The sequence below is a fragment of the Homo sapiens genome, chromosome 1 (assembly GCF_000001405.40).
Source record: "Homo sapiens chromosome 1, GRCh38.p14 Primary Assembly".
Taxonomy (NCBI): Eukaryota; Metazoa; Chordata; class Mammalia; order Primates; family Hominidae; genus Homo; species Homo sapiens.
Window position 1 is genome coordinate 19182133 of NC_000001.11, and position 15201 is coordinate 19197333.

Sequence of the window (15201 nt, forward strand, 5' to 3'; positions counted from 1 at the left end):
TTCCTTCCTTCTGAAGGCTGTATAACATTCATTGTATGGCTGGATGTTTTGTTTATCCATTCAAATGTCAATGGACACCAGGGTTGCTTCCATCTTCTGGCTACTGTGAATAATACTGCTATGAACATGGGTGGATAAACACCTGTTCAAGCCCCGGCTTTCATTTCTTCTGGGGTATATAAGTAGAATTGCTGGATCATATAGTAATTCTATTTTTTTTTTTTGGCAGATGGGGATCTTGCTATGTTGCCCAGGCTAAAGTACAGTGGCTATTTGCAGGCGCAATCATAGCATACTACAGCCTCAAACTCCTGAGCTCAAGTGATCCTCTTGCCTCGCCTCCCGAGTAGCTGAGACTACAGGCACGTGCCACCATATAGTAATTCTATATGTAATTTTTGCAGAATTGACATACTGTTTTCCACAGCTACTGTATCATTCTACATTCCCACCAGCAATGCATCAAGAATTCCACTTTCTCCACATCCTCACCAACACTTACTTTCCATTTAATAACAGCCACCTAATGCGTGTAAGCGAAGTGGTATCTCATTGTGGTTTTGAGTCACAAACATAATGGAATATCATACAGTAGTCCAAACAAGAACTATAGAAATATATAACAATATAGATGAATCTTGGCAATACAGTACTATATCATACTACATGAAAAAAGAGAGAGCTTGAAAACATTACATACAGCATGATGTCATTTGCTATAAAACTACAAGCAATTATTAAAACTTTTTTTAAATTTAAGGAATATAGATTATATATGTACATACACATACATATACATATATGACTAAGGACATGAGGAACTTGAGATTTAGGATTCAAGACATCAGCTATTTCAGAGGGGAGAGAGAACCATAAGATTGGAAGTTCACAGTCAACGTCCTAGATTTTGTTTTGGTGGTGAGTTTGCAAGTACAAGTGTATATGAGAGCATCTATCTCCTATAATTTGATTGATTCTTTTAAAACACACATTTTAATTTGTCTTTCTTCAATTACTAAGGATGTTGAATACTTTTCCTATGTTTATTGACCACTTATACTTCTTTTCATATAAACTGCCTGCTTGTGTATTTGTCCACTTTTCTGCTAGCATAATCATCAGGAGTTTCTGTTTGTTTTTGTGGGTTTTCCTTTTCTTTAAGCTTACTGACTTAAGATAAAAGACATATTTTTTTTTCTGGAAATGATCCTAAATATAAGGCACAGGGACATATTAGAATCACCTCTCAACGCTCTTTCCAGGGAGGGGATTTAATGACAAACTGTTCCTTAACAATTGGAGCTACAGGCCGGGCGCGGTGGCTCACGCCTATAATCCCAGCACTTTGGGAGGCTGAGGCGGGCGGATCACCTGAGGTCAGGAGTTTGAGACCAGCCTGGCCAACAAGGTGAAACCCTGTCTCTACTAAAAATACAAAAATTAGCCAGCCATGGTGGCACACACCTGTAATCCCAGCTACTCTGGAGGCTGAGGCAGGAGAATCGCTTGAACCTGGGAGGTGGAGGTTGCAGTGAGCCAAGACCGTGTCACTGCACTCCAGCCTGGGTAACAGAGCAAGACTCCATCTCAAAAAAACAAACAAACAAACAATTGGAGCTGCAGCCTATGGAAGCTGGTGTCATGAGCTCTTGCCTAGATGGTCACAGCACACACAAACCTGCAGGTTAGGTGACTGAAGGTCAGAGGTTACCAGTGAGTGGTTGAAGTGATAGAGAGCTGCAGCAAACTCTTCATCTGATGAACCTTAAAGACAAGTAGAAAAGCCAATTATTTAAGCAGCTATTGAATGCACCACACCTCCCTGCCAACAGCCAAACTCCATGAGAAAAAAAATCCATCAGGCACATATCTTGTCTACTGACCCTTGAGTCCATCTTTGTCCACCTCCTTGATGATACTGGCTAGGGTGGCCATATGGTGTTCTGAAAGAGATACACTCAGATAGTTTCGGATAAAATTGTTCCGAGAGTTCAGCATGGAAGAGGTGATGAAGTTCAAAATGTTGGAAGCCAGACCTAAGAACTGAAAGGAACACACACAAAAAAGCTCTTATCAGGGTCATAAGCCCAGCGTTCCTATAAACTCTGATTACAAATAGAAAATAAAATATGCTCATAGGTATCCTGCAATAAACACAATGAATGAAAGAATCAGATTTTAAATCACTTACAGTGGGCCTAAGTTTCATTATGAGTCTCTCTTTCCCACCTAATTCTACTTACACAAAATGGCATTCCAGTTTAATATAACAGATGTTACAAAACAGTGTATGAAAACAGGATTTCCAAATAGACTGACCCATTTCTTTTGTTCTCCTAAGGTCCTTTGTCCGGCTCCAATTCACTACTGATATATTCAATCCTGAAGCCTATATGAATGATTATTACACATATATAGAATTCCTAGCTCTTCTCTATTAAAATTAAATTGAATTATTGTATAAATGTTTTTTGTCCACATCCTTGACTGTAAGCTATATATATGAAGGCAAGAACTGTATCTGACTCACTCACATCATCAGAACGGGGACTGACACTTACTAGATAATACTAGTTGAACCAACAGTTCAACCACAGCAAGCACTGATGATATATCAGACCTATGCTAAGCACTTTATAAATAGTCTCTCTTTAAGATGTCACAACACCTTTAGATGCAGGTACAATCACTCCCATATGATAGGAGACAAAACTAAGGCTAGAAAAAATTCAGATTCTTGCCCAAAGTCACAAAGCCATTAAGTGATTCTAAAGGCCAGCAGAGAAACAGTAACAGTCACGTAAGTTATTTAATGACACATAATCAAGACATATAAGTCCTAAGCAAAAATATCTTTAAACATTACAGTTATCCAAGCCACAAAATGTTTGCATTCAAATTATCTGCTTCTCATACCCCTAGCTCCCCATGTCCACTTCCCCTAAACCTTAGAAACCTACTCTTACCAACTCAGGATCTTTGCGACTCGCCAGAATGTTGCCCTTCTCACCAGGGGCCTGCTTACTGGGGCTTTTAACCCGAGGAGAGCTTTCCAGTGGAGGAGGTGGGGGAGGAGGCGGAGGTGCTGCTTTCTCTTTACTGGGAGAAATAGTCTCCTCAAACCATTGCCCCAAAATAGGCTCACTGTCATCGTCTGAATAGAGAAAGATAAAGTAACGAAAATAAATATTTTTTAAAAGTGTTTTTGGTGCATCTGCTTCCTAAAAGTACTTAAGTCAAAAGGAATACAAGGATATCCCAATTGTGATGATGGTTACAAGATTGCATTTGTGTATCAAAACTCATCTAAATGCATACATAAAATAAGAGCAAAACTGATCATCAATAACTGATTCAAATGTTTGGATAGATTCAACCCGTTAAGAATTTCTCACATTATTGCATGTAAATTATACCCCAATAAAACTGATTTCTTTTTTCTTTTTTTTTTTTTTTTTTGAGAGGGAGTCTCGCTCTGTCACCCAGGCTGGAGTGCAGTGGTGCAATATTGGCTCGCCGCAACCTCCACCTCCCAGGTTCAAGCGATTCTCCTGCCTCAGTCTCCCGAGTAGCTGGGACTACAGGCTACAGGCATGTGCCTGGCTAATTTTTGATTTTTAGTAGAGATGGGGTTTCACCATATTGGCCAGGCTGGTCTCGAACTCCTGACCTTGTGATCTGCCCACCTCAGCCTCCCAAAGTGCTGGGATTACAGGTGTGAGCCACCGCGCCCAGCCAATTTTTCTTTAAGGAGCCCAACAAAGAAAGAAAAACAACTTCACATTATTTTACTGGTAACAAGCCAAATATTTTCAAGAGCGAATTTATACTTGCCTTATCAACCATAAATCACAGGACGGTAAGAATCACACCTCCCTTCGTATTTCACATTGTTCCCACAAACCTGATTATGAAAGAATCTGAGGTACTTACCTTATTCATTCTCTCATCAAACTAAGGCAGGAGGGCATGCCAGTGGGTTCACTACAACAGGATTAGGTTTCTCTACTCAAGCTTCCCTAAACTATGACTATGATAACATCCAAACCGAACACCTCACATGTGACCTTTTGAGTTTCACTGAGAAAGCTTAGAGCAGAGGTCACAAAATGAGTCAACACAGGAAGAAATATGGAACAATTGAGATGTTTTCTGATTTTGGAGGGAAAGGAATGAAAAGTAACCCAGGCTTGGCTGAAAGTTGTTTCCATCATTCATTCATCAACAGCTCAACTTGCTCTTAAATAACATGTCATCTTTGAATGCACATAAAACCAAGGTCCAGGCTAAGCAGGTGAAAACAAAATGGAAACTTTTGTTTGGTCAGGAAACTACAGGAATCTGCTGAGAACACTCCTGTTGCACTCTATAGCTTATCTCTGGGAGAGAGAAAAGAGCGGCCTCTACCTTGGCTGCTGTCCTCCTCCGTGCTACTGAAATCGTCCTCATAGTAAGTATTGGAGTCGGTGGAGGCGCTGGCATCGCTGCTCATGGAGCCCTTCCTCTGCCGCTGCAGGACACATGCCTAGGAAAATGACAATTACAAAACCGGAGCCATCCTATTTAATCTCATGCATCGCATGAAAACTTTCTCCATAATCTCTTTTATTTTTTCCTAAATCCAAGAGTATGCCTCTTAATAGCTCCCTTAATTAAGGACTTTCATCACTTTACCCTACAAAAACACTACCAACCAGAGACGTGGACAAGAATTGAAAACAGGAGTGTTTCCATAGTGTCCTCTATGCTTCTGCTTCAGTATGCCAATCATCACAAATCACCAAGTAGCCACGTGTATCACAAAACTGATAATTAATAACTGATTCAAATGTTTGGATAGATTCAACCCGCTAAGAATTTTTCACTTCTTCAACACCAGTACCAAAACTTTGGGTCTATAAAGGTCATGGTGTGTAGTCAGTCTTATTCATTTCAAGAAAGTTTTATATATATATATATATATACATATATATATCATATATATAAAATGAGACATTCTTCTAAATTATCAATGGCTTAACTCCCACCCACCTTTCTGTAGGAAGTTGAAAGTAACGTCAAGAGCAGGTTCATCAGTGGGACAGAGTCAATCAGCCGTTGAATCCTCTGTATGGAGGTGCTCTGGGCCATAATGCTCAAGGCTGCAGGGGGGCCATCTGTCTCCCAACCCTGAAGGCAATGATATCAAAGGGCAATTAATGATACTACTCAGCCAGAAAAAACAACTTGAGTTGATGGATCAAGCTTGCTTGGCCAGAAGTGGATCCCGCAATCAATATGCTGATTACCATGGGGATAACCTCCTCACCTTGTGAAGGGCCTCCACTTGTAGGTCTTGAAAGAGAGACGTTAGCAGTTTGATGGCATGGTTTGCCAATATTACTGAGAGTACCCCAAATCCCTGATGCCTACACAAAGAAAAAGGAAAACACAATCCTTAAAATAATTAACAATAAATTACAACTTCTGAAGCAGTGGATCTTGCCATTTTGGGGTTTCAGACCCCTTTCAGACTCTGTGGACCTTCAGAAAAAAAAAATTGTACATACATACATCTGCATATAATTTCTGAAGTTCACAATCTCCTTGAACCCCATCCACAGATGGCCTAAGGATCTGCAGGCTTCAGGTTTAGAACTCCTGGACTAGGCTGGGCACGGTGGCTCACACCTTAAATCCCAACACTTTTGAGAGGCCGAGATGAGAGGATCACTTATGCCCAGCAATTTTAGACCAGCTTGGCAACCTAGAGAGGGAGACCCTGTCTCTACAAAAAAATTAAAAAGTTACCCAGGCATGGTGGCATGTACCTATGGTACCAGCTACTTGGGAGGCTGAGGTGCACCACTGCACTCCAGCCTGGGTGACAGAACAAGACCTTGTCTCAAAACAAAAAATTAAATAAATAAATAAATAAATAAATAAATAAATAAATAAAACCTCCTGGAATAGAAGAAACTCCCAAATGGAAAAATTTTTGGAATTTAAACAATCAGTTCAAGGCTAATGGGTTATACAAAGATGCTGACTTTTAAATGTAGATTGAACTTTTAAAGAATCATTATTTTGAAAAGAAAAAGGTTTGAATTACCAACTTCTATAAAATATCTGGAAACAAATCTAAGAGAATAAAAAGAGAGGCCTGGAGCAGTGGCTCATGCCTATAATCCCAGCACTTGGGGAGGCCAAGGTGGGAAGATCACTTGAGCCCAGAAGTTCAAGACCAACCTGGGCAACATGGCAAGACCCCATCTCTACAAAATATGAAAAACTTAGCCAGAAGTGGTGAGGCACACCTGTGGTGCCAGCTACCCAACAGGCCGGGGCAGAAGGATCACTTGAGCCCAGGAGGTGGAGGCTGCAGTGAACTGTGTTCATACTACTGCACTCCAACCTGGGCGATAGAGTGAGGTTTTGTTTAAAACAAAAGAGAGAAAAGAAAATTACATTCAAGTAAAGTGTTTTCCTCCTGTCCAAAATCTCCACATAACAAAAGGTTAATATATATGATTTGCAAGTTCATATAAATCAAAAAGAAAAAAGAACAAACACAGGCCAGATGCGGTGGCTCACATCTATTATCCCAGCACTTTGGGAGGCCAAGGCAGGAGGATTGCTTGGGGCCAAGAGTGCAAGACCAGCCTGGTCAACACAGCAAGATCCCATCTCTGCAAAAAATTTTAAAAATTAGCTGGGCATGGTGGTGCACACCTGTAGTCCTAGCTACTCAGGAGGCTGAGGTGGGAGGATCACCAGAGCCCAGGAGTTCAAGGTTACAGTGAGCTATAATCCTACCATTGCACTCTAGCCTAGGAGACAAAGTGACTCTACCTCTGTAAAAATAATAATAAAAAAATTAAAAAGAAAATGACAAATACCAAAAAGAAAACCAAGGCAAAGGACATAAGGCAGTTTACAAAAGAAATACAAATGACCAATAAATAGGTGAAAGGAAATACAATCACATTAGTAATCAAAGAAATACAAATACATGAAATATCATAGCATTCTCTCCTCTAAGACAAGCAAACATGAAGACTAATGATGCCCATTGTCAAAGAGAGCATGGGGAAATGGGCATATAAGCACACAGCTGGTGTCAATGCAGATTAGTGTTACTTTTCTAACGAGTAGTTTGACAAAACATTTCCAATGTTTAAATATGTGAGCCCTTTGTCCTAACAACGGTACTTTTGGGAATTCATCCCAACAGGACAATTAAGTTCCCAAAAGTTTATATTTCAGGAAGTTATCAAAACAAGACATTTGGAACAATCTAAATAAGCGCTTAGCAATAGGGGAATTAGGCAACTACGGTATATTTACATAGTGGAATACTGCTGGCCATTAAAAACTTAGACATTTTAATAGTGTCACTGAAAAGATGATGCAGTATTTCATATACACTGATCCCATTTTTGTAAACTTATATATATTTTATATGTGCACAGAAAAATGTCTGAAGGAATGTTTACCAATTTGAGTGGTAGAATTTGGGATCATTTTTACCTTTCCTATTTATGTCCATCTGTATGGCTTGTCACTTATACAACATACATGTATTCTTTTAAAATATGAAGAAACAACAGCCATTTTAAAAGCATAACTGCTACTTCTAAGGATATACTTCTTGGCATTCTTTCATTTCCCTTTACAATGCCAAGAATGAAAATGGCCACTCATAAAATCACAAACTACCGTTTGCTCTGGAACACTCTTACCTCCTTACTTCGCCTAGTATCTATCAACTTACCATGTCAATACCGGCTTCAGATTTCAGCTTAATTAGCAATTCCTTGGGGAAGCCTGCTCTGATGTCCCTAGCCAGGTCAAATGCCCCTGTTCTAATACTCTCTAGATACAATTTGACATGGCCAGGCAGATTGGCTCATGCCTGTAATCCCAGCACTTTGGGATGCTGAGGCAGGCAGATCACTTGAGGCCAGGAGTTCAATACCAGCCTAGCCAACATGGCGAAACCCCAACTCTATTAAAAATACAAAAAAAAAAAATCAGCTGGGCATGGTGGTACACACCTGTAATCCTAGCTACCTGGTGGCTGAGGCACAAGAATTGCTTGAACCTGGGAGGCAGAGGTTGCAGTGAGTTGAGACTGCACCACTACACTCCAGCCTGGGCAACAGAGCGAGACTCTGCCTCAAAAAAAAAAAAAAAAAAAAATATATATATATATATATTTGTATGGATACCTAGTTCATGTCTCTTGAGAATATGTCCATTTTTATGTTCATCACAGCAATCCAGAACTAACACAGAGCCTGGGACACAGAAGATGCTCAGAGGGTAATTTGTTAATGCAGTCCAGGCTGTGACCTCTTCCTGAAACTCCAGACTCACATATCCAACTGCCCACTCAACATCTCACATAGAGGTCTGACAGTCATCTTACACTCAGCATGGCCAATATTACGTTTTTATTTCTTCCCCATCTTCCCATTCAACCCACTCCTAAACAAGTGTTCCCAGTATCAGTAAATTATACAACCCAGTGACCTCAAGCCAAAAAATTGTGATGTCATCTTTTTCACACCCAACATACAAGCCATCAGTAAATCCTGCCAGCTGTACCTTCCAAATATATTTCAATTCGGCCTCTTTTCTCAGCCTTTGCCGCACCACCCTATCCAAGTCACCTTCATATCTCATCTGGAATGATGCATTCGCTGCTAACTGTTCTCCCTCCTTCTTATCTTATGCCCTGCAGTCTATCCTCAGATCACCAATAAATCAGGTTGCATCTCTCCCTTGTTTAATCCTTCTAACAGTTACTGACTGCACTTGGCCCTAGGTGATCTGGCCACTGGCTACCTGTCTGACCTAATTTTCTACCACTCTCCCACCTTGGTTTCTCCATTTTAGCCACACTGACCTTGCTGACCCTCAGAAATGTCAATGATACTTCCATCTCAAACCTGAACAATTCTACCCCAAATACTTACATAGCTCTGTCACTTCACATATGGTCTCTACATCATGTCTTTGGAGCCCTTTCTGGATCATCCTAAATAACTAAATAACTAAAATAATAGCCCTGGGCTGGGCGCAGTGGCTCACACCTGTAATCCCAGCACTCTAGGAGGCTGAGGTGGGCAGATCATTTGAGGCCAAGAGTTCGAGACCCTGCCTGGCCAACATGGTGAAACCCCGTCTCTACTAAAAATACAAAAATTAGCTGGGTGTGGTGGCATTCACCTGTAATCCCAGCTACTTGGGAGGCTGAGGCATGAGAATTGCTTGAACCCGCGAAGTGGAGGTTACAGTGAGCCACAATCACGCCACTGCACTCCAGCATGGGCAACAGAGGGAGACTATGTCTCAAAAAAAATAAAATAATAAAAGCCCCTATGACTCTCCGGCCCCTCGCTCTGACATCTTTTTCTTCACAACGTTTATATATGATTATCTATAATCTACTCGTTAATAGATTTGTTCATTGTTTCTCCAGATATAAAATAAACTCCATAAAGGCAAGGACATCACTTTGTTTAGTGCTATATCCTCAATGCCTAGAATAGGGCCTAGTATATAATAGGGATTGAATGAAAAAATAAAATCCAGAAACACCTGGGCTTAGAAAACGAAACCTGAACAGTACATTGGTCATATCTCTTCTTTCAGAGTTCATCAAAACAACAGCAAATATTACAGGAAGCAAACCAGGAGGCCCTGACAATATTCTCATCTTACAGGTTATACACGCAAGTACTCAACTCCAAGTCAAACAAGCCCGCTTTACAAGACAGAAACATGTTTTTCTGATGTGAACTTCATAAAATTCCTGAAATACACATTGCACAGATATTTTTCCCCTTTGACAGATGAGGAAATAGAATCAAAGAGAATGAGTGACTTATCTAAAAATCACAAAGCTATGCTGTGGAGATAACAGGTCATGATCATTATCTTAGTTGCTAAATTCAAGCCAGGTAGGAAGGCAAATTTTCCTATTGATATGAAGTCATACTAGCTCCCTGTAAATATAAAATGTTAGCGAAATAAAACAAAATATAAGTTATAATCAAGTAGACACATACCCTTTTCCAGGCCCCAGTTTAGGGGAGCCCACTCCCTCTTTAGTACGAGAAAGGATGTCTCTGACTCGGAGGGCAGCCAGTGGGTCCTTCTCTTTCCCCTTATCAGCCAACGCAGTAGGACTGAGGTTCAGTATGAGGAAAAGGCTGTTTAACAAGCACCAAGCACCCAGCAATTGGAAATTCTGATAGTGCTGTTGTGAAAGGCACAAAATAAAAAACATAATCATAGAGATATTTACATCTCAGAGAGGACAAGATAGGAAGTATGCAGCAGAGACAGATACGCTTCTTACCTCACCACCAGCCCGGCGAGAACTGCTGATTGCTTGTCCAATCATGTCATAGATTTCGAGCTGTACAATATCAAACAGACACAAAAATCTGAACAAGCTGACAGATTTCATCATAAATGCTAAATCCTACCCAAACAATTTAACTTGAAGAGTTCAATATCCTCTTTTCAATGATACATTCCATCGTACTTTCCTTGACCTTCACATGGAGCTGACTCCCTCTTTTCATTTGGATCAAATGTCACCTTCTCAGAAGCCATCCCTCCTCCGAATCAAAAGCAGCATGCCCAGCTCCACATCAGATCACTTTTTTTTTTTTAAGACGGAGTTTCACTCTTGTTGTCCAGGCTGGAGTACGATGGCGTGATCCCGGCTCACTGAAACCTCCACCTCCCAGGCTCAAGCGATTCTCCTGCCTCAGCCTCCAGAGTAGCGGGGATTACAGGCATGCACCACCACACCCAGCTAATTTTTGTATTTTTAGTAGAGACAGGGTTTCACCATGCTGGCCAGGCTGGTTTTGAACTCCTAACCTCAGGTGATCCACCCACCTCCCAAAGTACTGGGATCACAGGTGTGAGTCACCACACCCGGCCCAGATCACTATCAATCACAATGTATTGTTTCAGCGCACTTAATCACTATCGGAAATTTTCCTGTTTACTGCATTTCCCTAAAAGTACACTGACACACAGTAGGCCCTCAAACATATTTGCTGAATTAATGGCTAATCTTTCAAGTGTGTTCTACAGAGATAGGGAAACAATATACCAGATCAACCAATATACCAAATCAACAAGCTGGATGCCTACCTCTTAGACCTACTAGTGCCCAGGGAAAGTAGTGTGGAGAATACTCTAAGTTCTTTCTTCTATCATGGAAGAAAGTGGAACTGGCCATACTCCCTCATTTGAACAATCAAGGTTCCCTTATCCCCAGATCTTTGGCTTACACATTTCTGGACAATTGTAGCTGCGTCACTTTCATAGTCATCTTCTTTGGAGCTCGTGGACCCTGTCCGCACTTGCTGGGCACTACCCACATGGAGGATGGCCATGCACGTTGCCACACTCACACCTGAAAAAGAAGATGCACAGGTCTCAGCCATGGAGTGCATCCAAGAATCCACCAAAGCTGAAACACAAAAGCACACCCCACCCACAAGCAATTCCATGATTTGACTACTTAAAATAAATGCCATTAAGAGCAAGACTAAATAGGTTTACCATACAATTCAGTAACCAGACTCCTAGGTATTTATCCAAATAAGCTGAAAACTTACACGCGCGCACACACACACACACTACACACGAATGTCCTTCAATAGGAGAACACAGAAACAAACTGTGGTATATCCATACAATGGAATATTAATTCAGCAATAAAAAGAAATGGACTATTAAGCCATGAGAAGACATGGAGGAACTATATGCATACTGCTAAGAGAAAGAAGCCAATCTGAAAATCCTGCTTATTGTATGATTCCAACTACATGACATTCTAGAAAAGGTAAAACTAGAGAGACAGTGGAGATCAGTGGTGTTACCAGGGGTCGAGGGATGGGATAAGGAATGAATAGGCAAAGGGGATTTTTAGGATAGTGAAACTATTTTGTACAATATGGTAATCATGGACACATGACACTATACATTTGTCAAAACCCATAGACCTGTACAACACAAAAATGAAACCCCAATGTAAACTATGGACTTCAGTTAATAATAATATATCAATACTGGTTCATCAATAATAAATCCACCGTACTAATTAAAAGTATTACTGATAAGAGAAACTAGCTATAAGGGAGAAGGAGGATATGCGAACTCTATGAACCTAAAATTGCTTTAAAAATAAAATCTAAGCCAGGTGTGGTGGTGCATGCCTCTAGTTCCAGTTACTCAGGAGGTTGATGTGGGAGGATCATTTGCACCCAGGGGTTTGAGGCTACAGTGAGTTATAATCGCTCCACTGCACTCCCACCTGGCTGAAACACTAAGATTCTGTCTCTTTTTAAAAAAGTAATAAAAATAAATAATTAAGGCTGGGCGCGGTGGCTCACGCCTGTAATCTTAGCACTTTGGGAGGCCCAGGTGGGTGGATCACCTGAGGTCAGGAGTCTGAGACCAGCCTCGCCAACATGGTGAAACCCCATCTCTACTAAAAATGCAAAAATTAGCCAGGCGAAGTGGCAGGCGCCTATAATCCCAGCTACTCGGGAAGCTGAAGCAGGAGAATCACTTGAACCTGGGGGGCAGAGGTTACAGTGAGCTAAGATTGAGCCATTGCATTCCAGCCTGGGCAAAAGAGCGAAATGCCATCTCAAAAAAATTATAATTAAATAATTAATTCATTCACTAAATTTAAAATCTAGAAGCAGGCACAGTCGACTCCAGAGGCTGAGGTGAGAAGATCACTTGAGCCTAACAGTTCAAATCTAGCCTGGGCAACATAGCAAGACTGTATTTCTTAAATAAATAAATAAATAAATAATGAAATCTGGCCAGGCACGGTGGCTCACGCTTGTAATCCCAGCACTTTAGGAGGCCAAGGCGGGCGGATCACGAGGTCAGGAGATCGAGACCATCCTGGCTGACATGGTGAAACCCCGTCTCTACTAAAAATACAAAAAAAAAAATTAGCCGGGCATGGTAGTGGGCACCTGTGGTCCCAGCTACAAGGGAGGCTGAGGCAGGAGAATGGCGTGAAACCAGGAGGTGGAGCTTGCAGTGAGCCAAGACTGTGCCACTGAACTCCAGCCTGGGCGACTGAGCGAGACTCCATCTCAAAATAATAATAATAATAATAATAATAGTAAAATCTAATAATTTCAAAAAATTAAAAATAAATTTTAAGATTATGAAAAAAAAATCCTATACCTGGAATTTCTCAAAGACATCATAGCCAAATCCCTTTCCTTAAATCAAATCCCAAGTGATCAAATTTTAACAAACCAGATTTGGGATCTTTAATCCGACTATGAATTTTTAAAGAATCTCTAGTCCTTACTGACTTTAATCACTTACTGACTGAGTACATTGAGATCCATGTGAGGGTAATGAAATCCCCTGGAAATCAAAATAAATAAACCCCAAATTTAAAAATGCAAAATCAACGGTAGAGCATGAGGAAGCTCAATACTGGAAATTAGCTATGAGAGAACATATTTTCACATGTATCCTTAACTTTCTACTCTTAATGCTGCTGCCCTAGCTGAGGCCCTAAATGTACGCTGCCTGAATGACTGCCAATTCCTCCTAAGTAGTTTCCCTGCCTCCAATATTTCCCCACACCAAAATACCTTGTACAGTACAGCCTGAATGTTCTTCCTAAAATATAGCTCAGATCCTCTCACAGCTCAGAATCTTTAATGGTCTCTACTATCTACAGGATATGGTCCAAATGACTTAGTCTGCATTTCTAATTGAGTCTTACTTTCTGTCCAATTATACAACACCCACGAACAGCCATAAAACCTACAGACTTACTTATACACACACACACACACACACACACACACACACACACACACACACACACAAACTTACGTAGTATGTTCCCCCAAACTCTTGGATACGTTTTGTCTGCTTCTGCCTCTGCCTAGAAATAGCCAAGCCGAGATCCTACCTGACTTAAGATTCAACATCAGAGCTCCTTCATGATTACTGCCTTTCTCAACTGAAAGTGAGCTCTCCCTCCTCTAAACTTCCAAAGTACTTTCTCATCTCTCATTCAGTTTCTTCACTTATAAGTTATTTACTAATATCCTCTAAAAGACAGTAAGGTCTCTGAGAGCACAAATGCCTTTATCTTTATCTTCCTATTCACACACAGATGTTCAAATTAAAACTGTTCAGAGAATGTAGGGAGATCAACCTCAGTAATTTCATGGTGTCCCCAAGGTCAGGTCTCCAAGACTATCTGCTCAAATCTTCACTTGCAAAACCAAGTAAACTTCTGAAATTGCTATAACTTCCAAGACATACCAGAGATATGATATGTCTCGGAACTTAAAGCCAAGGATCAGTGATCTGGGCTAAAAAGTCCTTTTAACAATAACTTAAAAGAGAGTAAACACCAGCTGTCAGGCCCTGCTTCAAAGGCAGTAAGATCAACAGGAAAAAAGGGGATTTTATGGAAGCTTAAAGAATATCATTCTTCGCATTTATCAGTATAAACAGATACCACCTGTTCCACGAAGCCTTCTTCAAACCTGATCCCACAGCAAGACTCAATCCCTCTCTTCTCTGTGTACCGAAAATATTCTATACTTCTATTGCCTTTAATACTGTTTTATATTATACTATTTAGCTTTATGTGTTCTCTGCTGCTCAGATGTAGGCTCCTTGAGGGCAGAGACTACATGTAGTTCATCTCAATATCTCAACAGTCTTAGGCAATTTGCTTTTCATATAGTAAATATTTAGTATCTGCACATACTATAAAATCAAATATGCCTATAACGCAATGGCAGCAGTGAAACAACAGGACCATTTACAAAGATTCCTATTGAGACCTCATTTCACCTTGATGCGACGTTAGATGATCCTTGAGAGAAGGAAGCAAGGGGGATGAGTAGAGTATTCAGGAGGATTTTCATGGTTTCCTGAAAGTATATCTCTGCTTGACTGAGAAAATGAGACCAGATATAATAACTTCTCACCTGCATACAGACAACTTAGGCTGAGGACTGTCACATCTTGTAGACGAGAAGGATTGAGAGGTTCCAACACAGGTAGAGAAAGGGTATCCAATGCCATAGTTACATCAATCACCAATGAATGAAAGCTGGAACATGACAGAGATCAACAAGTGTCTCTTAGAATCATTCACTTCTATAATGTGACAGTTAAAGA

General features: G+C 40.6%; 1 protein-coding gene across 50 annotated transcripts in view; it reads right to left on the reverse strand.

Annotated features, from left to right (window-relative positions):
• UBR4 (ubiquitin protein ligase E3 component n-recognin 4) overlaps positions 1-15201 on the reverse strand; it is a 135757-nt gene that overhangs the window by 107623 nt on the left and 12933 nt on the right. For all 50 annotated transcript variants that reach the window (XM_047416518.1, XM_047416514.1, XM_047416523.1 and 47 more), the window contains exons 8-17: positions 15009-15133; positions 11301-11425; positions 10349-10408; positions 10056-10246; positions 5309-5408; positions 5032-5169; positions 4408-4525; positions 2967-3154; positions 1884-2043; positions 1679-1764 (exon numbers count right to left, since the gene is read on the reverse strand). In XM_047416518.1, the coding sequence (XP_047272474.1) occupies positions 1679-1764; positions 1884-2043; positions 2967-3154; positions 4408-4525; positions 5032-5169; positions 5309-5408; positions 10056-10246; positions 10349-10408; positions 11301-11425; positions 15009-15133 (1291 nt within the window). The remainder of the gene's footprint in view (positions 1-1678; positions 1765-1883; positions 2044-2966; positions 3155-4407; positions 4526-5031; positions 5170-5308; positions 5409-10055; positions 10247-10348; positions 10409-11300; positions 11426-15008; positions 15134-15201) is intronic.